Source organism: Homo sapiens, chromosome 17 (assembly GCF_000001405.40).
Source record: "Homo sapiens chromosome 17, GRCh38.p14 Primary Assembly".
Classification (NCBI taxonomy): domain Eukaryota; kingdom Metazoa; phylum Chordata; class Mammalia; order Primates; family Hominidae; genus Homo; species Homo sapiens.
Genome location: NC_000017.11, coordinates 74,770,085 through 74,794,277, shown reverse-complemented (window position 1 = coordinate 74,794,277; position 24,193 = coordinate 74,770,085). Strand labels below are relative to the sequence as shown.

At 52.2% G+C, this 24,193-nt stretch overlaps 2 protein-coding genes across 36 annotated transcripts in view, besides 8 other annotated features; one reads left to right on the top strand and one right to left on the bottom strand.

Annotated features, from left to right (window-relative positions):
- SLC38A12 (solute carrier family 38 member 12) overlaps positions 1 to 17,779 on the bottom strand; it is a 63,255-nt gene extending 45,476 nt beyond the window's left edge. For 6 of the 7 annotated variants that reach the window (NM_017728.4, NM_001321264.3, XM_006721963.3 and 3 more), the window contains exons 1-6: positions 17,701 to 17,779; positions 16,903 to 17,014; positions 8,675 to 8,796; positions 5,408 to 5,489; positions 3,982 to 4,078; positions 3,242 to 3,322 (exon numbers count right to left, since the gene is read on the bottom strand). In NM_017728.4, coding sequence (NP_060198.3) covers positions 3,242 to 3,322; positions 3,982 to 4,078; positions 5,408 to 5,489; positions 8,675 to 8,796; positions 16,903 to 16,947 — 427 coding nt within the window. In that variant the 5' untranslated portion in view covers positions 16,948 to 17,014; positions 17,701 to 17,779. Of the gene's footprint in view, positions 1 to 3,241; positions 3,323 to 3,981; positions 4,079 to 5,407; positions 5,490 to 8,674; positions 8,797 to 16,902; positions 17,015 to 17,700 lie in introns of those variants that run through there. The other variant, XM_017024797.2, reaches the window with a different exon arrangement.
- Positions 8,865 to 9,365: an enhancer, noted in NCBI's record as "H3K27ac hESC enhancer chr17:72781052-72781552 (GRCh37/hg19 assembly coordinates)". NCBI's record gives its function as "activates a minimal SCP1, AML or CMV promoter by ChIP-STARR-seq in primed H9 embryonic stem cells {active_cell/tissue: H9 hESC(primed)}" and the evidence as "EXISTENCE:reporter gene assay evidence [ECO:0000049][PMID:30033119]".
- Positions 9,926 to 10,444: an enhancer, noted in NCBI's record as "NANOG-H3K4me1 hESC enhancer chr17:72779973-72780491 (GRCh37/hg19 assembly coordinates)". NCBI's record gives its function as "activates a minimal SCP1, AML or CMV promoter by ChIP-STARR-seq in primed H9 embryonic stem cells {active_cell/tissue: H9 hESC(primed)}" and the evidence as "EXISTENCE:reporter gene assay evidence [ECO:0000049][PMID:30033119]".
- Positions 10,445 to 10,965: an enhancer, noted in NCBI's record as "NANOG-H3K4me1 hESC enhancer chr17:72779452-72779972 (GRCh37/hg19 assembly coordinates)". NCBI's record gives its function as "activates a minimal SCP1, AML or CMV promoter by ChIP-STARR-seq in naive and primed H9 embryonic stem cells {active_cell/tissue: H9 hESC(naive and primed)}" and the evidence as "EXISTENCE:reporter gene assay evidence [ECO:0000049][PMID:30033119]".
- Positions 13,124 to 13,293: a silencer, noted in NCBI's record as "silent region_8941". NCBI's record gives its function as "represses an Ori minimal core promoter by ATAC-STARR-seq in GM12878 lymphoblastoid cells {active_cell/tissue: GM12878}" and the evidence as "EXISTENCE:reporter gene assay evidence [ECO:0000049][PMID:35858748]".
- Positions 13,872 to 14,081: an enhancer, noted in NCBI's record as "active region_12720". NCBI's record gives its function as "activates an Ori minimal core promoter by ATAC-STARR-seq in GM12878 lymphoblastoid cells {active_cell/tissue: GM12878}" and the evidence as "EXISTENCE:reporter gene assay evidence [ECO:0000049][PMID:35858748]".
- Positions 14,172 to 14,221: an enhancer, noted in NCBI's record as "active region_12719". NCBI's record gives its function as "activates an Ori minimal core promoter by ATAC-STARR-seq in GM12878 lymphoblastoid cells {active_cell/tissue: GM12878}" and the evidence as "EXISTENCE:reporter gene assay evidence [ECO:0000049][PMID:35858748]".
- Positions 17,780 to 17,932: 153 nt separating the features above from the next.
- On the top strand, positions 17,933 to 23,749 carry NAT9 (N-acetyltransferase 9). 29 transcript variants are annotated; one of them, NR_130953.2, is made up of 8 exons: positions 17,933 to 18,011; positions 18,571 to 18,656; positions 20,590 to 20,702; positions 21,239 to 21,382; positions 21,883 to 21,886; positions 22,001 to 22,060; positions 22,224 to 22,318; positions 22,420 to 23,749. NR_130953.2 is itself a non-coding variant. In XM_024450687.2 (7 exons), exons 2-7 carry the CDS (start codon positions 18,580 to 18,582, stop codon positions 22,552 to 22,554), a joined length of 621 nt encoding a protein of 206 aa, XP_024306455.1. In that variant the 5' UTR covers positions 17,933 to 18,007; positions 18,571 to 18,579; the 3' UTR covers positions 22,555 to 23,749. The 29 variants fall into 29 exon arrangements, 27 of the variants coding, with proteins under 27 accessions (XP_024306455.1, NP_001292007.1, NP_001292012.1 ...); NR_130954.3 differs by lacking the exon at positions 22,224 to 22,318 and having other exon boundaries at positions 20,593 to 20,702; positions 22,444 to 23,731; XM_024450687.2 differs by lacking the exon at positions 21,883 to 21,886 and having other exon boundaries at positions 17,933 to 18,007; positions 20,593 to 20,702.
- Positions 18,132 to 18,251: an enhancer, noted in NCBI's record as "active region_12718". NCBI's record gives its function as "activates an Ori minimal core promoter by ATAC-STARR-seq in GM12878 lymphoblastoid cells {active_cell/tissue: GM12878}" and the evidence as "EXISTENCE:reporter gene assay evidence [ECO:0000049][PMID:35858748]".
- Positions 23,274 to 23,373: a silencer, noted in NCBI's record as "silent region_8940". NCBI's record gives its function as "represses an Ori minimal core promoter by ATAC-STARR-seq in GM12878 lymphoblastoid cells {active_cell/tissue: GM12878}" and the evidence as "EXISTENCE:reporter gene assay evidence [ECO:0000049][PMID:35858748]".

The following is a 24,193-nucleotide window of genomic DNA, read 5'->3' as shown; positions in this document are numbered from 1 at the left end:
CAGGGCTCTAGTCCTAATTCCATCAGACTTGTTTCAGGACCCCAGTAAGTCCATGAACGTCTCCAAACCCGTAAGGGTGAGAAGAATTCCACCTGGGCCATCTTCCATAAATGATTCCAGCTAGAAAGGCCAGGTGCAAGGGCTCTGAAAAGAGTGGCAGGGCCCTATGACCTAAGGGTTACTGCTCAGACAACCAGTCTCCACCCTTGCTCAGACTGAGGCTCACGTTTTTGATGTCACTGGTCTCAAGCTGCTGGCTTCTCTGAGAACATAAAGAAAAATGAAGTGACAGTTCCCTTTTAATCCTGGTGGCTCAGAAGAGCCTGCAGGGTACCCAACGGAAAGCCTAGGACATGTTATTCCTGGGCCATGTGAGGTCAGCTCTGTTCCTAGGAGCCTGGGGGGGAAAAGACTAAGAAAACGTGATCCTCAAGGGGACCCAAGAGGCCTCGGCACTCACTTTTTGAATATGGCATGTCCTTCCCTGACATGTCAGAGATAGCCTGACGTCCAAGCTTAGTGGCCTCTGGGGTTGGCCTGTCACTCAGGCCCAGGCTCCAGGTACAGCCTGCACTCCAGCTTGTTTTCTGCTCTGAGGGGACGCATTGTCCCCCGCCCCACTCCCAGCCTTTCCTCCACCTGCCAATGGTCTCTGGCATCAGCTCTGTTTATAAACTGCCATTGGCCCTCCCTGGTCAATAAACTTCATTACTAGACACAAAATAAGGGATCAATGAACTTCCTGAGAAGACATCAATGGCTAGGCCCGCATTTCTGATTATAAGAAATGAGCTGGGACCCTAAGGGAGCCTCCTATAGAGGAGGCAGCCCCACCAAGGGTGAAGATGACAATCTGGCAGTCTGTGAATCAGGAATGGAGCACAGCGGAGGTTTTCAGCTGGGGTGATTTTGCCTCCCAGACCCTGCTGGGAACATGTGACAATGTCTGAGGACAGTTTTGACTGTCATAAGTAGGAGGTGCTACTGGCAACCAGCAGGCAGAGGCTAGGGATGCTGCTCAGCACCCTACCACACACAGAACAGGCCCACAAGGAGGAATTCCCCAGCCCAAACATCAACAGGACTGAGCTTGAGAAACTCCAGGGTAGAGGAGACTCCCTTTAAGTGTGAGGCTGGTCTCAGACAATGTCTTTATTTTCCATTAGATTTGGGCAAATTAAGAGTCTAGTCTGTAGTGGGGGGCAAAAAAGGCAAAACTGCTGTTTGCTAGAATTCTTAAAGAAATCAGGGCAGACTGCACAACATGAAAATGAGAAAGGAGGTTTAAAAGCATGCGTCTTCCTTCCAATGTGCACTTTATTTTAAAGCTTGCATTTGGAAGGGGACTTTGCGTTGCTGCCAGGAGGAAACGCTTATGCTTGCTCAGGCTGGTGAGACGGGAGGGATGGAAATGGAACAAAGGAGAAGCACAGATGCGGGCTGAACCTGACCAGTTGGTTTTGCTGAATTCTGAAATCCCTCTGTGAGGCCGGTCCAGCAGGGAGGGTGAACCAGGCCCTAGGGCGGCCTTTGGCTGATAATCACATCGCCCTGCCTAAATGCTTAACGTCCTAAAAAGCAGTCAAAGAGATTCTAGTTCCTACAGTCCCCCCGGCTCTAAGTTAAGTGCAGCCACATTTAAGACTAGAAAGAACTGGTAGGGCAGCCCACTCGACAAACGGGGCTTTGACAAAGGGGCAGAAAATCTTCGAAGACAGTTGCAAGGGGAAGGATGAACTGAGAATGTGACTGACTCTCAATGAAATGGAAATAAACAGGTCTGGGCATTAAAAACTAAACTCTTTTTTCTGGTTTTCTTTTTTTTTTGAGACAAGGTCCTACTCTGCAGCCCAGACTGGAGGGCAGTGGTGTGATCTCGGCTCACTGCAACCTCCGCCTCCCAGGTTCAAGTGATTCTTGTGCTTCAGCCTCTGGAGTAGCTGGGACCACAGGTGTGCACCACCACGCCCAGCTAATTTTCATATTTTTACTTGAGATGGGGTTTCACCATGTTGGCCAGGCTGGTCTCCAACTCCTGGTCTCAAGTGATCCGCCTGCCTCGGCCTCCCAAAGTGCTGGGATTATAGGCATAAGCCACCATGCCTGGCCATTAAATTCTTTTTTTTTTTTTTGAGACGGAGTCTCGCTCTGTAGCCCAGGCTGGAGTGCAGTGGCGCGATCTTGGCTCACTGCAAGCTCCGCCTCCAGGATTCATGCCATTCTCCTGCCTCAGCCTCCCGAGTAGCTGGGACTACAGGCGCCTGCCACCATGCCCGGCTAATTTTTTGTATTTTTAGTAGAGACAGGGTTTCACCGTGTTAGCCAGGATGGTCTCGATCTCCTCACCTCGTGAGCCGCCTGCCTCGGCCTCCCAAAGTGCTGGGATTACAGGAGTTAGCCACCGTGCCCGGCCCACTAAACTCTTAAATAGCTCATCTTCCAAAAGAACCAGATTTGCCATGGAGATATAAGATGTCGCTGGCACACCCAACAACTCAACCCCAGAGTTGGGTGGCTCCCTTATGGTTGCAGCCAGATCCCAGGAAGGAGCAGGTTCACCAGCACACTTCAGGGCTCCGGTCTCACTCAGCAAGCCTGGGTGTGGGCTCCTAGCGCCCTCTGCCGGCCACTGGGAAGCCACGCCCAGGCGTGCGCATAGCAGATTCTAGCGCTGTCAGAAGGTGTTATTCTAGACAGAATCGGCCAGAAGAGGGCAAGGTCAGAGGCAATCAAGCAGGAGGTGCAAAACCATCAACCGGCCTCCATCAACTTCCTTTGCAGGAAAAGGAAAAAGCTTATTTTGTAGCTGCCTCAGGTTCCTGACCTCCACTGGAGTAGCTGCCTGGGGTTCCTGACCCTCACTGGAGTAGCTGCCTGGGGTTCCTGAACCTCACTGGAGTAGCTGCCTGGGGTTCCTGACCTCCGCTGGAGTAGCTGCCTGGGGTTCCTGACCCTCACTGGAGTAGCTGCCTGGGGTTCCTGACCCTGGCTGGAGTAGCTGCCTGGGGTTCCTGACTTCCGCTAGAGAAGCGGCCTCTTTGTTTTTAATGCCCGCAGACAGGGAGGAATCCAGGAAAACAGGTCAGCAAGGTGGCTTCTCAGGTGCTGAGGGAGCAGCTCTACCACCTGCTCTGCCCCATGGTCTGGCTGTCAGGGTGGAGCCCTCATTACAAGGGTGCAGGCCTGCAGGGAAGCACCAGCTCCCCGTTTCCCCACACCCCACCCCCAAAAGAACTTCTACCTTTATTGAAGAACATGGAGGCCATTTGTCCCATTTCCACCCGGTCTGTGATTTCAAACGGGTTGGGAGATCCACGTCTCTCTGCAGAGCCAAAAGAACAAGGAAGAGGAAGTGGTTCTTCACGTGGAGAGCTTCAGAGGGTGGTGAGGACCTCACTGAATTATCTAAACCATGAAATCCCCAAGTGTCCAAACTCGAGAAAACTTTTCCTAATGTTTCCTGCTTGACATGGTTTAACACAGTCTTTTTTTTTTTTTTTTTTTTAAGGGAATTCAGAGATGCTCCTGCTGGGGTGAAAGGGAGAGCAGGCGTCAGAGCCTAACCCAGCCGACCAGGGAGGAGACAGCAAGGCAGGGGCATGTATGAACATGAGGGCACAAGGCAGGAGGAAGAAGAGATGCCACAGAACGACATCTACTTGAGCTTCCAGGGTGCACCAGGCAAGGAACCAGGCATTTAATCATCTCAGTAACAGGAAGGGGTATGGGGGGAAACTGAGGTGCACAGGTCAAGGAACTTACCAAGCTGCAAATCTGAGTAGTGGCCAAGCCAGCAGGGGCCAGGCCTGTGCCCAGGACTGAAACCCTGTGCTCTTTTGAGTCTACCACAGGGCCTGCCTCAGAACCCAGGGGCAGGAAATGCCAGAATCTGCGGGGAGCCTCTCCAGGGCCCTCTCCATGAAGAAAGGGAACCCTGTGGCCCGGAGGGAAGTGCGGGCCCGCGAGAACCCCAAGACTTACGCACAGACAGGATGGGCCGCTTCTCTGCCCGCTCGTAGTTGTCCCGGATGAGAACATCGCTGTCTGAGGCTGTGGAGGAGTCGTCATCTTCCTCCTCCTGGGAGCCAGTAGGATGGACGAGGAGGAGGGAGGAAAACAAGGGAAAAGAAAGGAGCACATCAAAAAAGTACAGAATGTTAGCCAGGTGTGGTGTCATGTGCCTGTAGTCCTAGCTACCTGGGAGGCTGAGATGGGAGGATCACCTGAGCCCAGGAGATCGAGGCTGCAGTGAGCCGTGATTGCAACACTGCACTCCAGCCTGGGTGACAGAGCGAAGACCCTGTCTCAAAAAAACAAAAAAACAAAAAAACAAAAAAGAAAGAGAGAAAGGAAAAAAAAAGAGCATGGAACTCTACAGAAAAGCCCTAGGACAATGGCAAACCTGCTTCCTTTTTTTTTTTTTTTTTTTTTTGAGACGAAGTTTTGCTCTTGTTGCCTGGGCTGGAGTGCAATGGTGTGATCTCAACTCACTGCAACCTCTGCCTCCCAGGTTCAAGTGATTCTCCTGCCTCAGCCTCCCGAGTAGCTGAGATTACAGGCACTTGCCACCACGGCCGGCTAATTTTGTATTTTTAGTAGAGATGGGGTTTCACCATGTTAGTCAGGCTGGTCTTGAACTCCTGACCTCAGGTGATCCACCCACCTCGGCCTCCCAAAGTGCTGGGATTGCAGGCATGAGCCACTGTGCCCGGCCTCTTTTTTTTTTTTTTTTTTGAAATGCTTGCCACTTCATGTTATCTCAGTCTGTTGCCCAGGATGGAGTGCAGTGGCACAATCTCAGCTCACTGCAACCTTCACCTCCCCGATTCACGCAATTCTTGTGCCTCAGCCTCCTGAGTAGCTGCGATTACAGGCACACATCATCATGCCAGGCTAATTTTTGCATTTTTAGTAGAGATGAGGTTTCACCATGTTGGCCAGGCTGATCTTGAACTCCTGACTTCAAGTGATCTGCCCGCCTTGGCCTCCCAAAGTGCTGGGATTACAGGTGTGAGCCCCCCCACCGGCCCCTGTGTTCTTTCCTTCTGCAGGGTATCTGTATCTTTAGGAAGCTCTCAGCACAGCTATGCTGCCCCATTAGAGGTGGCAGAGACGCACTCGGGAAGAAGTGACAACACAGTTCCTGGGTACAAAGATTTCAAACAGCTGAGCTGGGTGCGGGTGTGGGTAGGAGGGCCTGAGGCTGAGACGGGAAAGTGGCAGAGGCTCCATTTGTGCTTTAAGATTTAGGTGGCTATTAAGCTTCAGCTCTGGGACTGGGGTCCAGGAGCAGTGCCGTGGACAGAGCCCGCCATGCACTGAGAGGAAAAGAATGGGCTGCTGAGACCGCCTGCTGGGTACCTGACGGAACAGAGGCATGGCCCGGAGACGAGGGCAACACACACACCTTGAGGTTCTCCATCCTCTTCCAGTGGAGCTGCGCGTTGGCTGCAGCCATGGCCTCTATCACAAAGGTGGTGGTCACGAAGCTGAGGGGGCCGAGTGCCCAGCGCCAAAGGCGGACAGGTTGGAGGAGACAGAGAGAGAAGGAAAACACCATTGTAAGAACCGACCAGACCCACCAGCCCAGACCATTCTCTTTTCTGAGAGCTGTTCCCTAGAGATGGGCTTTACTTGGTAAAAAGGTGTGCATGCTTTGACGTTGCTGTCTATAGTGAGAACGTATTTCCGGTGCACGAGAGAGAGAGGTGTGAACTAAGTGATGGGAGGGAAAATAACCAAAGGAGAGAGGGAGCTGGGGGCAGACGTGATACTGGGACAAGCCGTGCTCACACCCAGGAGGGGCTGTTGGGGGCAGACATCAGAGGACGCTCTCAGTGAGGGGAGGCTGGTTCACAAAGGGCCCCCCAGCCTCTGGAAGGACAGCAGGCAGCTTTCACGTCAACCTTGCAAGGACACAGGCGAGTGGTCACCTCCCAATTACATACACTCACGGAAGGAGCGCAGGCATGGATAATTGGAAATGGGTACTTGGCTCCGGAATCCATCCCTTTTTTCTTTGGCAGTACTTTTTACTTTCCAAATAATCTGGCTAATATTAAAATAAGTTTGCACTTCTACGGACCAATTCAAAAGGGAGATTGGGAGGTGGCATTAGACGCTTGCCAAGAAGTCAGACTAGATTGGAAAAATCATCTTTTCTTTTCCTCTTAAAGAAACTTGAGGCCAGGGGCGGTGGCTCATGCCTGTAAACCCAGCACTTTGGGAGGTTGAGGTGGGTGGATCACAAGGTCAGGAGTTCAAGACCAGCCTGGCCAAAATGGTGAAACTTCGTCTGTACTAAAAATACAAAAAAATTAGCTGGGCATGGTGGCACATGCCTGTAATCCCAGCTACTTGGGAGGCTGAGGCAGGAGAATTGCTTGAATCCGGGAGGCAGAAGTTGCAGTGAGCCGAGATCGTGCCACTGCACTCCAGCCTGGGTGACAGAGCGAGATTCTGTCTCAAAAAAAAAAAAAAGGATACTTGAGAGACCTAGATGACAGCTGGAATGCATGAATGCTTTTGTTAACGGAGGATACAGAAGTGGGCTGCCTTCCTGCTAATAAAACCTGAGGTATGAATCCATCTCTGCCGTGGAACAGCATGGGACGAACATTCATCTCCTGCTTTCTTTTTTTTTTTTTTTGAGACGGAGTCTCGCTCTGTCGCCCAGGCCGGACTGCGGACTGCAGTGGCGCAATCTCGGCTCACTGCAAGCTCCGCTTCCCGGGTTCACGCCATTCTCCTGCCTCAGCCTCCCGAGTAGCTGGGACTACAGGCACCCGCCACCGCGCCCGGCTAATTTTTTGTATTTTTAGTAGAGACGGGGTTTCACCTTGTTAGCCAGGATGGTCTCGATCTCCTGACCTCATGATCCACCTGCCTCGGCCTCCCAAAGTGCTGGGATTACAGGTGTGAGCCACCGCGCCCGGCCCATCTCCTGCTTTCTTGAGGCCAGGACAACTCTGCCAGCAGACTCACCCCTGCCTCTCCCTGAGTGTTGACAAGGGTTGGGGGGCTGACTGCTCACCCTGACGTCAGGTGGCAGGAGGCAGAGGGGTCACTTGGCCCCACACCAGTTAAACCCACACTCACTCCCACTCTGGGGGAGCAGCCAGCTCTGAAACCCCCATTCCAATCGCCTCAGCACCTCCTAGAAAGGTTTCTCATTATCTTGCCTAAGTGACCATTTTAAGGGCTTTGGATTTACCCTTCTTTTTGGACGTGAAATTAAAATCAATCTTAATTAAGGCATAAAGAGACTTTTCATGGTTGCGCAAGGCCAACTCATCGATCACGTTCAAACACAAATGGGTTGAGCAAGGAGCGGGGTGTGGTACCCCCTGCCTGGGAGCCCAGAATGATCACTTCCCATTAGATGGCTGCCTGTGCTGAAGGTCCTTTAAAGGGGACAGCGGAGTCATGTAAGGACAAGGACTTCTAGAGCTCTTGGCTGCCAGGGCTCACTGTAGATAATGAACCAATAGTGCCCCAAGATTCACCCTCAAAACTCCCCAAAAGAAATGCATGAAGAAACTGAAAACCATGGGCGTTTTCCTATCCCATTCAGCTTCCTGTACGTCTTAGTTTGCTCCAACTACTAAGCTCCGTCTCATCCTTCCGCCCGCACCCACTCCCTCCCCCTTCAGATCCTTGCTTAGATGCAGCCCTCCCTGACCCTGCTTCAGCCGGCATCCTAGTCCCCTCGCCCTGTTACGCCTTCCTCTTTCCACAGCACTCACTGCCTTCCGGCTCACTCTTCCATTTACCCATTTATTATCTTCACTGCTCGCTGTCACTTCTCCCCACAACATAAAGTCAAGTCTGCACAGGCAGGGATCTTTGTGGTGAGGCCCCCTCAGTACCCAGAAGGGTGCTTGGTGCACAGATGGGGCAGGGTCACCTCTCAGGGGAGGTGTTTCCAGGTGCTCCTTCCCATCTCTTTTTTGCAGCTTGTGGATTCCTACCCGGTTGAGAGAATGGAAATGCCTAGTCCTAAACCCCTTCCTGGCCTGGGGCACTTGCTGACAACTTCAGACTAGTCCCTACGTGTGTGGGAATCCCCGAGAAGAGCCTCAGGTGGAACCCACCCTCCCTGAAGCACCGGCTGGTGAGGCCCACACACCTGGCTCAAGGAGTAGGCGTCCCTGAAGACCTGGGGAGGTACACAGCAGGCGAGTGCCACACTTGATCGTGCACCCAGGCGTGTGTTTATCACCTACTTCGTGAATTACCTTAAGTAAATTCTAAATTCCAAACTGATTTCCCATGTCACCTTAAATGTTTGTTAGATCTTTTTTCTGTGGCTGGGTGGTATTTTCTCAGACAGCAAAACTTGATGGTAATGTTAATAAAGCATACATTTAATAGCAGGGAGGTAAACCTGCCAGGGAAGAAATAGGCCAGCATCACGTGAAACATTCCAAAGCCTAGTGGATGTCCAGGTTTTTATCTGATCAGGGCTGTGCAACCGCTCCACAAAGACAAGCCACCAGGAGGCCTCTGTGACCACTTTCCCCTCTCTGAATACCCTGGCAAGGACTCACTGAGCTCGATACGGGGTAGACAGGTGTCTTCCCACCCCCTCAGTGCCCTCATGTTCGGGCTTCCTGGGCTGACTCCCTCCTGCTCCACTCCTGGCCCCTGTGGGGAAGTCCCCGCTGCCTCTCACCTCATGAAGCCCAGGAACACCAGCAGGACGAGGCTGACAAGCCACCCGGCAGTGGCGAATGCCTTGGGCATGGTGAGTGCGCCCGTGCCCACGATGAGGTTAAACATGTACACCAGCCCAACCTGGAACCGACAGAGGCAACATTCAAGCCCGGAACTTAATCAACTTCTCCCCTTAACAGCTCCCAAGGAACGACCCTGGTGATGGCACCACTGTGGAGGCCAGAAGGCCACACTGTAGACAGGGAAGGAGGCAGGACAGGAGAATTACACCTGGGGCCTAAGGAGCCAGGCTTGCAACCACAGAGCCTGTTAACCAAACATGAACACATGGATGACTCAAGCCCTGGGGTTCAGTTTCAGTCTCTGCTCCTGCTGTCATCATTGCCGTCCCCTCCTAAAGCTGCATCGCAGATGCTAGCGCTCTACTCAACCAGGCTGTAGGCTTCCCGGGGACAGAGCATCATAGGCGGGGTACCTGGCACAAAGGTGAGCGCATAATGCTGACCTCAAAGAAACACCCACTTTTCCAAGATCACTGAGCATGTGACTCAAGGTCCTCGCCATTGTCCTTTGGGACACGGATATTCATGCTTCTCTTTCTCCACCCCTCTCCCCATACCAACTTCAGGGTTTTTAAAAAAAAAGTTGAGGCATAATTCACATACCATAAAATCCACCCATTTAAAGTACACACATCAGTGGGTTTTAGTAATATTCACAAGGTTGTGTGACCAGTGCCACCAGCTAATTCCATTTTATCACCCCCCAAAAAGCCCATTTCCATTAGCGGCCACTCCCCATTCTTCCCTCCCCGCTTGCCCACCCAACTTCAGGGTGATTTCTCAGGTCACTGACTTCAGGTTTTAAACAACCCACAGTTTACAATGATTCCCTTTCTAAGATCTCAACCATGAATTTCCTGTCTGACCTGAGTTCCTCCCCTTCTGTGATGCTCTCCAGTCCCCCAGCCTCCTCCCCTGCCAATCCTCCCTCCCAGAAGCCCACCCCTATTTTGGCATCATCTGCTTCCTTTCTTGGTGCAATCGGCAGGCTCCACCAAGCACACGCCTCCTTTCCTGGTGTATTTCTCTTAGTATCAACCTTTCTGCAGACCTCAAGTCCAGCTGCCTGCTAGTCACCTACACCTAGACATCCATCCCATCAGTGGCCCCATCCTCCTTCCTTCCCCTCCAGATCACAGTTCTAGTGATTTTATTTCTGGAGCTTCTTTAGTGGCTAACTCTGGCTCCTATCCTTATTTACAATTCAAATGAGTCTTTCCGGCCTGGACTGGTGCAGTAGACTCCTAACTGGTCTTCCTGTACTCTGCTAAATTGGGTGACATACCGTATGCTTTACCACCTGTTTCTGATCATTAAAAAAGACAAACACCTCATCTCTGGGAATGCTTACCCATTTCTCATTTTCACTCCTGTTCTTAGAAAGATGCACTTTTCTCTATTTTAAAGCTTTTCTGAGATAGCCACATGCTGAATTTGTGATAGAAACACAAAAATTGGTGCCCATTCTCCCAGACTCCATCAATTTTGTTTTTTTTTTTTTAAAGCATGAAGAGGACGGATGCAGTGGCTCATGCCTGTAATCCTGGCACTTTGGGAGGCTGAGGTGGGTGGAACACGAGGTCAGGAGTTTGAGACCAGCCTGTCCAACATGGTGAAACCCTGTCTCTACTAAAAATGCAAAAATTAGCTGGGGGGTGGCGTGTGCCTGTAATCCCAGCTACTCAGGAGGCTGAGGCAGGGGGATCGCTTGAACCCGGGAGGTGGAGGTTGCAGTGAGCCAAGATTGCGCCACTGCACTCCAGGCTGGGCAACAGAGCGAGACTCCGTCTCAAAAAAAAAAAAAAAAAAAAAAAAAAAGAAAAAGCATGAAGAAATAGAGATTGCCAACTCCTGCCTTGGAGCTATTGGCTGGGAGAAGGAGGGGCTGGGCAGTGGTTAGAGAAGACAGGCTTCCCAGCAGGTGCTAACTGGATATTTGAGAGCAGGACAAAAGGGAGGCCACCCTGTGGAGAGGAAAGTGCTCTGCCTGCAGTACCTGAATACCTGACACAGGACCAAAGCCCTCTTGTGCCACCTCCCCAGCCCCTCCAACTCCTACCCAGCCTTCAGGGCCCATTCCAATGCAACTTCTACCACAAAGTCCTTCCCAGGCTCCCAAAGTTGTCCTGCCTCCCGCCTTTGAATCCTTGTGGCAACAAAACTTCTTATGCCCTCTCTTGGGTTTTAGATATTGGCATATTTCTCTTTTCCCTGTTACTAAATATGAAGCTCACTGTGGCCGTGGGCTGCGTCTCACTTCTCTCTGCATTTCTCAGGGTGTCTGGCACACAGGCTGGAGATGGGAACACCCAGCTGATTGCACTGGACCCTGCTTATCTCTGACGTGAGTCTGAGAGTCTTCACCATCCAGTTTTGGATGTCACAATCTCAATTTTTATTTTTATTTTTTGAGACGGAGTCTCGCTCTGTTGCCCAAGTTGGAGTGCAGTGGCGTGCTCTTGGCTCACTGCAACCTTGCCTCCTGGATTCAAGTGATTCTCCTGCCTCAGCCTCTGGAGTAGCTGGGATTACAGGCACCCACCATCATGCCTGGCTTAATTTTGTAGTTTTAGTAGAGACAGCGTTTCACCATGTTGGTCAGGCTGGGTCTCGAACCCCTGACCTCAGATGATCCACCCTCCTCGACCTTTCAAAGTGCTGGGATTACAGGAGTGAGCCAACACGCCCAGCCCTCAATCTCAATTTGATCCCACAGACAAATCCCAGAATGATGAAAACAAGTTTGAATCATCTTCCTATGCTTTGGTTGGATCACATCATCATCGTGATATGATTCCCCTTTGGGAGTCCTGGCTCAGAGTGGTGCTGCTAGAATAATTTTGAGGGCAGCAGTTGGGTGAGACAGGGGACACACAGCCCATTGCTGGTCTTCTGAATGGGAAGTTCTGGCTTTTCACAGTGACTGTGAATGTCTATAACTAACTCATGTTTACTTTTGCTGGTACTTTCATGCTCATGTGTACAAGGGTGGGAAGGGGTCATCTAGCTAGCTCAGTTCTGCTCATTTATTCAAAAACCAACAAGAGCCTTCTACAGACCGGGCCCTGTGCTTGGAGCTGAGGATACAATGATAAACCAGACAGATACGGCCCTTGAACTCACGGGGCTACGTTCTAAGGAGGAGGAAACAGACAACAAGAAAACAACTACAGGCCGGGTGTGGTGGCTCATACCTGTAATCCTAGCACTTTGAGAGGCTGAGGTGGGTGTATTGCCTGAGCTGAGGAGTTCGAGACTAGCCTGGGCAACATAGTAAAACTCCATCTCTACTAAAATACAAAAAATTAGCCGGGCATGATGGTGCACGCCTGTAATCCCAGCTACTCGGGAGGCTGAGGCATGAGAATCACTTGAACCCGGGAGGCAGAGGTTGCAGTGAGCCGAGATCATGCCACTGCGCTCCAGCCTGGGAAGAAAACAACTACGGTTACAGCTTGAGAGAGGCGTTATGAAGCAAACAATCAGGGCACTGTGAGAAGACACAATGGGAAAGCATTGGAAACAGTGGATACCCCAGGAAGGGAGCTGGAGGATGAGAAGGTGCTACCCAGGCAATAGACGAGGGAGAGACTTCCCGGCCCAGAGGCCTACAGTGGGAAAGAGGCAGGTAGGCTCGAGGAGCTTTCAGAAGGCCTGTGTGGCTGAAGCACAGCAAGCCGGGCAGGGGTGGGGCTGGAAGAGGCTGCAGTCAGACTGCGAAGAGCCCTTTTGGATGGCACAGGGGGTTGGATGTTTTGGAGCATTTTAAGCAGGGCACTAACAGAACAGACCCCAGCGGAAAACCTAACATCTGCCCTCCCTGCAGCTCTGTTCTCTGCTTATCGCTTCTGTAGGCAGTAATACTTATGAAGGGAAAAAAACCTTATTTCTTTATGGAGAATGATGTTCCCATAATGGAAGTAAAGAGAAAGCAAAGAGGCATAAGAAAGTGACAGTTCTAGGCTAGGTATGGTGGCTCATGCCTGTGATCCCAGAACTCCTGAGGTGGGAGGATGGCTTGAGTCCAGCAGTTTGAGACTAGCCTAGGCAATGTAGCAAGACTCTATCTCTACAAAAAAATAAAAATATTAGCCGGGGACGGTGGCAAGTGCCTGTAGTCCCAGCTACTTGGAAGACTGAGATGGGAAAATCGCCTGAGCCCAGGAAGTCAAGGCTGCAGTGAGCTGTAATTGCTCACTGGGTGACACAGTGAGACCCTGTCTTAAGAAAAAAAAAAGAAAGTAATGGTTCTTAGGCAAAAGTTTTATGGGGAAACTAAACAGTATAAGAGGCATTTGTAAATTCAGGGATGCTTGAAGGTCTTGGGATGTAAAAGTCAAAGGTCTCTTGTGGATCAGGGTTTCTCAGCTTGGGCACTATGGAAATTTGGGGGCCAGGTCTTTTTTCATGATGGGGACCTGTCCTGTGCATTGTGGGATGTTTAGTGGCATCCCCGGCCTTTGCCCACTAGGTGCCGGTAACAACCTCTCTCCAACCAGTACTGTCCTGACAATCAAAAATGTCTCTAGACACTGCCTACTGTCCTCTGGGGGGCAGGATCACCGCTAGTTGACAACCACTGCTGTAGAGAGAGGTATAATGAAATAAGCATGCTCCCAAAAGAAACTTAGGAACCTTTAAGAACTTTACAAAGAAATGAATGAAGAGAGAAACTATTGGCAGTTGGGAGCAGAAATGGGTAATTGCAGTTGTCTTGCTTTGTTGCAATTTTTTCAGTTCCAAAGCAAGCCCTGTGTGTTTAGTGGGGGCTCAGGGAATCCTGCAGGGTAACGTAGGACTTCTCTGCCTTCTCAGGACTGTGGCACTCCTGGCGAGCATTCAGTCCTCTTCACCTTCTGTAAAGGTAATCAGTGATGGCCAATCACAATGAACAGACATAGAGGCAGGAAGCAAATCTGGGCTGAGCCACAGGTTGGGTCAGGAGGGGTTGTGGGGAAGGAAGAGAAAGGAGACGTTCTCTTCTGCTGGTCGTGGGACAGTTCTGTGGGCCAGACTCCTGGGAAGCAGTGGCAGAAAGCTGAGGAATAGGCTCTACTGCAGTCTTGATAATGAAGACCAATGCATGCATTCTAAACTGAGTTATCTCCAATTCTCACCTCTTCCTCTGTGGCTGCACTGGAGGAGGCACAGGCACTGCTCCCTGGGACGGCTGGCCTGCTCTCCTATGCCCTAGAGAGCTCAGTGCAGCATCCCACATGCCTCGTCTCCACCCAGCAGCCTCACTCATGACCTGCATGGGGCAGATGTCACCAGTATCTTTCAACAGCTTCCCCTCTGACAATTGTCAAAGGAAACAGAAGGCAGCAAAGATGCGGAAGCAATGACTAGGATTTCAGGGTGTGAAACAAGCCTCTCTCCTTCGAAAGCAACCGCAACAATCTTCAGCAGGAACCAGCAGGCAGAGGCACCCTCAGCGGCCGACCCTTCTGTCGGGCGTGACCTACAGCATCCTGTATTTTGATCACACAACAACCACTTCAGTTCTGTGTCACTCTCGGTCCTCATAAATGGGGAAACAGACATGCCTATCCTGAGATCCCTTAAGGGGACATGTACCTCTCTGAACCACGTTCCCGTGTTCAGCACTACCCTTGAGAGGGTGTGACATCTGAGCCACCTAGGAGGTTCGTCTGCTTGTTACAAATATTTTAGGCAGAATAATTCAAGCTAAAGCGAACATCCTTGGAACTCCTGAAGGGGAAAAGAACTCAAAATGAATGGGGCAATAGAGAGCTAAGGAGAGGCTTTGTCTTGTAAATGCGCGTGGGCTGAAGCACACGTATGAATGACCTGCCCCGTGTCTTGGTTTCCCAAGGCAGCCAGGGCAGAGCTCTGCCCACGTTGTCTTGAGCTGGGGCCTGCAGGGGAACTCAGAGCAGCCAGCATCAGCAGTGAGTTAGTTCCACAGCTTATCTGGGTTCAGTGACAACCAACTCTTCTGGTCTTACAGAGGACCAAGAATTGTTCCAGGACGGGGGAGTTAAGGAACCCTTAGGAAGAAGGTGTCTTCTCCCCTCAGAACACTGACCACTACACCTCCTGTTTGATGTCACATCATCCCCTCCCCATCCCACCCCATCTCCTCCCTACATCTCTCTTCACCAGTAGGATAAAACAACACAAGCACTTGTTTATGGCCAATGCCCAGAGCTGGCCCTCTGGGCAACAAAGACCCTGAACGAAATAAAACACAGAGGAGATGGAGAACAAAAACGGGCAGAGCGCACTGAAGCTTGCAGGCCTAACTGCCTCATTTCCTGTGGGCACATGCTGACATGTGAGAGGACCCCTTAAACAACCGGAGATACAAGAAATGGGGACATATCCAAGTGTTTTCCTTACAAAACTTAGTTACAGGGATGACTCATCTCCTTATCTCTAAATTTACAGATGTTGTAAGAAAAAGCAGGAGCCGTGGTGACTTTTACATTAATAGACAGCATAGAGATTTCATCACTGACAGCAGGAGGCTAGGAGCTGTTACATAATTCCACAAATGAGAGGGACACTATTTATTCCATTCCAGGGTTCATGAAAGACTTCACCTGAGAGGCTGGGTGCAGTGGCTCACGGCTGTAATCCCAGCACTTTGGGAGGCTGAGGCGGGTGGATCACCTGAGGTCAGGAGTTCAAGACCAGCATGACCAACATGGTGAAACCCTGTCTCTACTAAATACAAAAAATTAGCTGGGCAGGGTGGTGCATGCCTGTAGTCCCAGCTACTTGGGAGGGTGGGGCAGGAGAATTGCTTGAACCTGGGAGGCAGAGGTTGAACCTGGGAGGCAGAGGTTGCAGTGAGCCGAGATTGCACCATTGCACTCCAGCCTGGGCAACAAGAGTGGAACTCTGTCTCAAAAAAAAAAAAAAAAAAAAAAAAAAGACTTCCCCTGAGAAATTACACAGGTGATGGGTGAAGAAGGCTCCTTTATTGCCACACATGAATGGCACAGGCCCAATAGGAAGACTCTGGAATCAGGAAGGCTTTCTTCCAGCTGTGAAGGAAATGTCTTGGAGACACTTCCTTGTCCATCACACCACAATGCTAGTCTGTGAAGCTAGCAGAAACAGACCAGAGATCCCCAGGCTAGGAAGCTATGTACAAGGCAGGGCAGCTGTTGAAGGCAGGTCAAGTTCTAGAAAACTCTTGCTACTTAGGGCAGTGCTGCTTTTGCCTGGGAGGGTTGGTAGCAACCTGAGTCAACCATCTGATTATTCCAACCCTCTGGCTACTTATCCAGGCAAGAGGGCCCTGTGATGTAACAACTATGACCAATCATACGTTACATAGAGAAGATAAACTGCGTGTGTGTTGGGGGCAGCCAGAGGTAACACAGACCTAAGACAGTGAGAATCAATCATTCTAATTGTTCTAATTGCAGAGTCCACCAAACTGTAATTAGAAGTCTCTGTATGCTTTCGCTGCTTCTTACGCCATCCAAGACTATAAAAGTTGTGCAATTTAAAATTCAGTAAAGACCAAAGCGGTTTCCAACTGCTGAGATGAGCAAAACCCAGAGTCAACAGCTGTCAATCACTGTTCATCTGAAGGGCAGCACTGCAGGCAAGTGTGGTAGCCTGGAGATGAACATTATTTCTTTATTTTTGAGACAGAGTTTCGCTCTTTTTGCCCAGGCTGGAGTGCAACGGCTCGATCTCAGCTCACTGCAACGTCCGCCTCCCGGGTTCAAGCGATTCTCCTGCCTCAGCCTCCCGAGTAGCTGGGATTACAGTGCCACCATGCCCGGCTAATTTTGTATTTTTAGTAGAGACAGGGTTTTACCATGTTGGCCAGGCTGGTCTTGAACTCCTGACCTCAGGTGATCTGCCCGCTTCAGCCTCCCAAAGTGCTGGGATTACAGGCGTGAGCCACCGTGCCCAGCCCGGGATTAACATTATAAACAGCATGGCGATTTTGTTTGGCTTGACCACTCTGACAAACACCTTAAAAAGAGAATAAATCTGACTTACATTCTGAGCCACCACAGCAGCACTGTAGTCGCTGCCCCATGGAACTCCCCCATCCTGCTTCCACTATGGTCTGCTCAAGCAGCAGCACTCACTAGTCCCATCTCCAGCAAGCAATGTGCTTTTCTAGAAGCCAGGAACACTTAAGTGAGCAAAAGGTTCTATAAGTCACACTCACGTAGGAAGAGTAGAGTTCCCCGGTCTCTGTAATTTCACCCGCCATTTCCAAAAGTGAGGAAGGGCTGGCAGCAGAGGTTCCTTAGGTGCAAGGACGGCGGCTGCCGCAGCTCCTTAAAACAAAAGAGCAGGCTTCACCTATCTGATGGACTGAGACAGGGGTGGGAGGAGGCTTGCAGACTTCCCCTGCCACCTCTGGTTCTTTTATCACAGACACTTAGGGCCTCAGTATCTGTCACAAGACTCACCCCCGAGGGAGGGGTCACCCTGGATGACAGAAATCTGGACGGTTTCTTCTAACATTTCCCTTGCTGTGCAGGGCACTGCTCTGTGCCCAGCACGGATGTTTTCAATGCTGCTCGGGGTGCAAGTGATTTAAGGGGCCTCTAAAACCACTAAGTCTCACCCACCACAAGAGCCCCCTTTCCACGCTCTGGGGTGGTTATCCTCGTTTAGTTCCAGGAACCAGGAGCTCACTACCACACATGGGAGCCCAAGGAACTGTCTGCCGCCTCTGCCTAGGGCAGGGAGCTGGGGGCTTTCCTACATTGCCCTTCCAACTCCACTCTTGGCACTAAGGCCTCCTTTTTTTAATGGGGCCTCCACTCCCTGGCCCCACCTACTCTCTTAGGGTTCCCCACCCTCAAAGCTCCCTCTTTTCTCAAGAACCCCACTCCCAGCCTCTCCCTCTCTCTCCCTCCTGGAGGAGTCCCGAGTCTAGTGCCGCCCCGCCCCGCCCCAACCTATCCCGACCCGTCTCGTCCTCTCCCGCCCGTCCCGACCCGACCCGACCCAACACCTGCAGCACAGCCAGCTCCCAAGCCGCCGTCTCCCGCCGGTCCGCTGCTGCCGGCGCCAGCTGTCCAGCACCAGCTTCCGCAGCGCGCATGCGCCGGCCCCACAGCCCACCTTTTTCGCGCGCGCTGATTGGGCGCCTCGCGGGGGCGGGACCGGGATTGGGGCCTGGCGGCTGCCGTCAGCATGGCGGAAGTGGGCGGGGCGCGTTCTCACGCGCATGCGGAAGGGGCGGTAGCCGGCCGGGCCTGGGAACGTGGCTGGTTGGAGGAGGTAGATCACCCTTTCTGCGGGGGACGATTTCGTCGGTGGTAGGTGGGTGTGAGCTTGGCAGTACCCGGGTCCGCGTGGTTGGAGGGTCGAAGAGAGTGGTCTAGAACGCCACTCAAAGGGGAGGGCCTAAGACTAAGCCCGCCTTGCCCTGAAGTGGTCGGGGGCGGGGAGGGAGTGGCTAGAGCCCCGTGGGGTGGTCGCCGGGGTAAGAGGTTGGAAGTAGGTTTAAGGCAGGGCTGAAAGTTGATTCTGGGTTGGAATCCCTGGACTGGGGCAAGTAATGGGAGCTCTGGGGATACTTTGGTACTTGGTACTTGGTGCTTGGGTTTGAGGAATCGAAGTTCTGGGGAGTGGACGGAAGGAACCGGCAGAAACGGAGCCCAGGCTTGGCCTCTTGGAGTGGGAGTCAAGGATTGTTTAATTATCCTTAACCAGCCTGGTTCTCTTTCTTGCAAGAATTTTGGAGTCTGTATTCTTTGAAGTGTCTAGACGGAACTAATGACGGAAGTCAACTTAGCCCCAGCAGGAAAGCTGGAGCGCCTACCCAAAGTTGGAGGAAATTCAGGGTCCTGAAGTCTTTGCTCTCCCCATCTGCATGCAGGCTGCTACCATGAGGTTGAATCAGAACACCTTGCTGCTGGGGAAGAAGGTGGTCCTTGTACCCTACACCTCGGAGCATGTGCCCAGGTATCTTTCCCGCTTGACATGGGGTGCGTATCAGCACCCAGAGCTGTGTAAGGTACAGCCCCAGTCTCAGGGCTATTTCCCCTAAGAAGAAACATTGGTTGTGAGAAATAATTATATATGAGGGGGGAAAAAAGGCTGGGTGCCGTGGCTCACGCCTGTAATTCCAGGACTTTGGGAGGCTGTGGCAGGAGGATTGCTTGAGCCCAGCAGTTCGAGACCAGCTTGGGTAACGTAGCGAGACCTTGTCTCTACAAAAAAATACAAAAATTAGCCAGGCATGGTGGTGCACAGCTGCAGTCCCAGCTACTAGGGAGGCTGAGGTGGGAGGATTGCCTGAGCCCAGGAGATGAAGACTGCTGTGAGCTGTGATTGTACCACTGTACTCCAGCCTGGGTGACAGAGCAAGAACCTGTCTCAAAAAAAAACAAAAAAAACAAAAAAACAAAAACAAACAAAAACAAAAAAACGGCCGGGTGCGGTGGCTCACGCCTGTAATCCCAGCACTTTGGGAGGCTGAGGCGGGTGGATCATGAGGTCAGTAGTTCAAGACCAGCCTGGCCAACATGATAAAACGCCATCTCTACTAAAAACACAAAAAATTAGCTGGGCTTGTTGCCCGGCACCTGTAATTCCAGCTACTTGGGAGGCTGAGGCAGGAGAATCACTTGAACCAGGGAGGTGGAGGTTGTGGTGAGCCGAGATCACACCACTGTACTCCAGCCTGGGCAACAGAGTGAGACTTTGTCTCAAAAATAAAATAAAATAAAATAAAGGCTGGGCGCAGTGGCTCACGCCTGTAATCCCAGCACTTTGGGAGACCGAGGCAGGCGGATCACAAGCTCAGGAGAGCGAGACCATCCTGGCTAACATGGTGAAACCCCGTCTCTACTAAAAATACAAAAAAATTAGCCGGATGTGGTGGCGGGCGCCTGTAGTCCCAGCTACTCGGGAGGCTGAGGCAGGAGAATGTGTGAACCCGGGAGGCGGAGCTTACAGTGAGCCGAGATCGCGCCACTGCACTCCAGCCTGGGTGACAGATCGAGACTCCGTCTCAAAAAAAAAAAAAAAAAGAGACCAGCCTGATCAACGTGGAGAAACCCCGTCTCTAATAAAAATACAAAAAAAATAGCTGGGCATGGTGGCACATGCCTGTAATTCCAGCCTGGGCAACAAGAGTAAAACTCTGTCTCAAAAAAAAAAAAAAAAAAAATAGCAGAACCTGGGGACTGTGACTTCCTTGGGAGGAGCTGCCCATCCTCTTCCCTTTCATTCTCTCAGCTTTTTGGCCTTTCAGCAAGGAATTGCTTTATGTAAACTAAACGTGGAAGAAAAAGAAATTGTCTTCTCACCTAATTGTAAATTAGTGATGTTTCCCTGGTGCCAGTGAGTATGTTCAGTTCTTGGAGACTTAATGTTAGCTTGTCCTTGAACTCTGAGCTGATGAGTTGTGATATCTACCATTCAAAAGGCCAGGACTGAGTCATGATGGGATTCCTGTGGGGGCAGTTGGCACATGTCTGGTAGATTGGGATAGTGGTGCTGTAGATGGGTATTCTCTACTTGTAGTTTTCCGTTTGAGGGTTCCTGGTGCCCTAACTTCGTGGGATCTGTCCAGCCGCCTTTGTTGAGGTTGGCTTGCCATATACATCCCCTTCTGGAATTTGAAGAATGTTTGGTTTCAGACTGCTCCTCCGCACTGACCCGAGACAGGATAGGAAATTGGACAGATAGAACTGACTCGTCCTGCTGTTCTTGTGTAAGACTAGCTTGCTTCTGGGTCTTGTGTCTGTGGCCCCTGCCTTAGGAGCAATCATAACCCTTTGGGTCTTCTTTGAGCCCTATGTTAGCCCTGTCTGGTTCTGGACCCTCATAAGGTGTCAGACGTATGCCTCTGAATGAGTCCTCCATGTCTAAAGCCACCCCTCTGTCCCAGCAGGTACCACGAGTGGATGAAATCAGAGGAGCTGCAGCGTTTGACAGCCTCGGAGCCGCTGACCCTGGAGCAGGAGTATGCCATGCAGTGCAGCTGGCAGGAAGATGCAGACAGTGAGGAGTGCCCCCCCACTTCCCCTAGCCCTGGTACTGGGAGGGCTGACTCCACAGTCAGTCTCCAGGTTCCTTCCCTTTCCCAGCCCCGGCCATAGAAGCTTTGTGAAAAGCCTGGAAGGTGCTGGAACTCCTGTATTCTCATGGCCCTGAAGCCAGTCCCTGTGGCTGACCCTTCTGTCCTCTTCCCCACCCACTGCATCGGGCTTGGAAGGATTTGGAGAAAGTAGAGCATTTGGGGCTCTGGCTGTAAATTGAGGCCCTGCCCCTCATGTCCCTCACCACAGCCTAGTGTGGTGACTGCCCTCCTCTGTGTTCCCTGCTCTCTGAGAATTTGGTTGCTGGTTGGAGAGGCTTTTTCTGTATGAGGCAGATTTGGAATTTTGTAATGAGCTGAAGGAAGCTCTGGGACCCCCTCTTCTCCTGGCAGACTCAGAGATGCTGGTGTTCTGCAGTGCTCTGGCTTGGGTAGGAGTACCATCCTCTCTTCTCTCCTCTGGGGAGTGTGTGTGATAGCCCTGTCACCTCCTCCTCAGAGTGTACCTTCATTGTGCTGGATGCCGAGAAGTGGCAGGCCCAGCCAGGCGCCACCGAAGAGAGCTGCATGGTGGGAGATGTGAACCTCTTCCTCACAGATCTAGAAGACCTCACCTTGGGGGAGATCGAGGTCATGATTGCAGGTTTGTTTCACCTAGCCCTGCCTTCCGCTGACTCCCGGCTCTCAGATCTGCTGACTGAGCCTGCCGAGGCTGCAAAGGGTGGGCACTCACAGGGTTCACTGGGAGGCTCCATGTGGTGAGTCCAGGGCCTGGCTGGGCAGCCTGCCCACCTAGCCCCCTCAGCCTGGTGGTACACCCTCAGCCTCATCACTTTAGTCCTTATGCTTAGGCGTGAACTTAACCCTTGGTTTGGGGTAGATTCAAGTATGGTTAGTCCCATAGTTGGGGTGGGCTGGGGACCCTCAGAAAAAGGTCTCTGGAGCATGTTGTCATATTACAGGAGGAGGCCCTCCTGTTTCTGCTCCTTCATGGTCCTCAGTTTCCCCCAAGTGGCTACTGACTATCCCCATGAGGCAGCATACTGACTCCATGAGGTAAAGAGGTCAGCTTTGAAGTCAGGTTGCTGGGTTGCAAGCTGTGAGGCCTTTCACACTTCTTTGTGCCTGTTTCCTCGTCTGCAGAATGGTAATGATAGTAGCAACTTCAGAGTTGTTGAGAATTAAATGAGATGGTGTCTGCCAAGTGCCCGCACTGGAGCCTGGCACACGGCGTCAGCGCCGCTCCTGTTGTCTCTCCTAGAGCCCAGCTGCAGGGGTAAGGGCCTTGGCACTGAGGCCGTTCTCGCGATGCTGTCTTACGGTAAGAAAGTGTGAGCAGACAATGCGGGAAGTGGGCAGGCCCCAGGTGAACTTTGTTCAGGTGTGAGGGTTGGGGGCAGGTGAAGGTTCCTCCTCTGCAGCTTGGGACAGGAGGGTGGGGGCAGGCGCCTCCTTACTTGCCCCTGTCTCATCTCCTCTGCGAGGAGTGACCACGCTAGGTCTGACCAAGTTTGAGGCTAAAATTGGGCAAGGAAATGAACCAAGCATCCGGATGTTCCAGAAACTTCACTTTGAGCAGGTAAGGATGTCCTGGGGCAGAGTGGGGCTTAGACCTGGGTGGTGGGCCTGGTGGTGGTAATACTGTAACTTAGCAGGCTTTGTTCTCTCTGGCTCACGTAGGTGGCTACGAGCAGTGTTTTTCAGGAGGTGACCCTCAGACTGACAGTGAGTGAGTCCGAGCATCAGTGGCTTCTGGAGCAGACCAGCCACGTGGAAGAGAAGCCTTACAGAGATGGGTCGGCAGAGCCCTGCTGATGGCTGGGCCTTGTGGGCAGCCACTCTGTGTGAGCAGGGTGTTGGGCCCATACACTTCAAAGACCAGAGCCCTGCACTGGGAGAGTGCTCCTGGCCCAGGCTGGGAATCACCTTTCGAGGCCCTTCAGACTCTGGCGGGGCTTGCTGTGGCCTCCCTCCAGCTAGTGGTGTGGCTGAGCAGACTCCAGGGCCAGGGCCAGTTCCCTTCTCCCCTCCCGGCCAAACCCAGACCCAGACTCTAGGAAGCTGGAATGGAGGGCAGGGATCCATGGGAGATGTCGGGATGAAGGTGGGAGCTGGAGGTGCAGGGGGACCTGGAACATGGATGGGAGTGGACAGGCCTTTCTCCTTAGAGGCCAGAGGTGCTGCCCTGGCTGGGAGTGAAGCTCCAGGCACTACCAGCTTTCCTGATTTTCCCGTTTGGTCCATGTGAAGAGCTACCACGAGCCCCAGCCTCACAGTGTCCACTCAAGGGCAGCTTGGTCCTCTTGTCCTGCAGAGGCAGGCTGGTGTGACCCTGGGAACTTGACCCGGGAACAACAGGTGGTCCAGAGTGAGTGTGGCCTGGCCCCTCAACCTAGTGTCCGTCCTCCTCTCTCCTGGAGCCAGTCTTGAGTTTAAAGGCATTAGTGTTAGATACAGCTCCTTGTGGCTGGAAAACACCCCTCTGCTGATAAAGCTCAGGGGGCACTGAGGAAGCAGAGGCCCCTTGGGGGTGCCCTCCTGAAGAGAGCGTCAGGCCATCAGCTCTGTCCCTCTGGTGCTCCCACGTCTGTTCCTCACCCTCCATCTCTGGGAGCAGCTGCACCTGACTGGCCACGCGGGGGCAGTGGAGGCACAGGCTCAGGGTGGCCGGGCTACCTGGCACCCTATGGCTTACAAAGTAGAGTTGGCCCAGTTTCCTTCCACCTGAGGGGAGCACTCTGACTCCTAACAGTCTTCCTTGCCCTGCCATCATCTGGGGTGGCTGGCTGTCAAGAAAGGCCGGGCATGCTTTCTAAACACAGCCACAGGAGGCTTGTAGGGCATCTTCCAGGTGGGGAAACAGTCTTAGATAAGTAAGGTGACTTGCCTAAGGCCTCCCAGCACCCTTGATCTTGGAGTCTCACAGCAGACTGCATGTGAACAACTGGAACCGAAAACATGCCTCAGTATAAAACAAACATTATAAAACGAACGCGTTGCTTGCCGTGGCTCCCTTCGTACCATGTGTACCTCAGCAATGAGAGTTCCCTTGGGGCCACCCATTCCTTCCACCAGTCTTCAGGTTAATGAAGAGTCAAAGGTCCCCCAGGGCTTCCCCACCCAGCAGGTGAGATAGGGAGGGGCCCTCCACGACCCCTGTGGAGGGGAATCTGTCAGGGGCCAAAGGGTAGAAGCAAGGGTGGGGTGGGGGCAGGTCAGCTGAGCAGGGCACTGCTGTGGTAAGGGTTTTGGATGGTTCCTCTGACAAGGAGCAGGAGATGGCCAGATAGTGACTGGCCTGGGGGACACTGTCCACTCCCTGATTCCAGATCTACCTGCTTTACTCATTCCCCTCAGCCCAGGAGCCTATTTTCTGAGAGGTGTCCCTTTGGGTTGGGTGGAGACTAGCCTGGGGGCACCTTCCTCCTGAGCACCTGCCCGGAACCTCCCGGCT

What these genes read in the sequence shown, in the direction of transcription:
- NAT9 (NM_001305082.2), top strand. Translation starts at nt 18,565, where the DNA reads ATGCAGGCTGCTACCATGAGGTTGAATCAGAACACCTTGCTGCTGGGG. An exon ending in CTGGCAGGAAGATGCAGACA is followed by an intron (nt 20,703 to 21,238) that starts GTGAGGAGTGCC and finishes CCTCCTCCTCAG; the next exon opens with AGTGTACCTTCATTGTGCTG. An exon ending in AGAAACTTCACTTTGAGCAG is followed by an intron (nt 22,319 to 22,419) that starts GTAAGGATGTCC and finishes TGGCTCACGTAG; the next exon opens with GTGGCTACGAGCAGTGTTTT.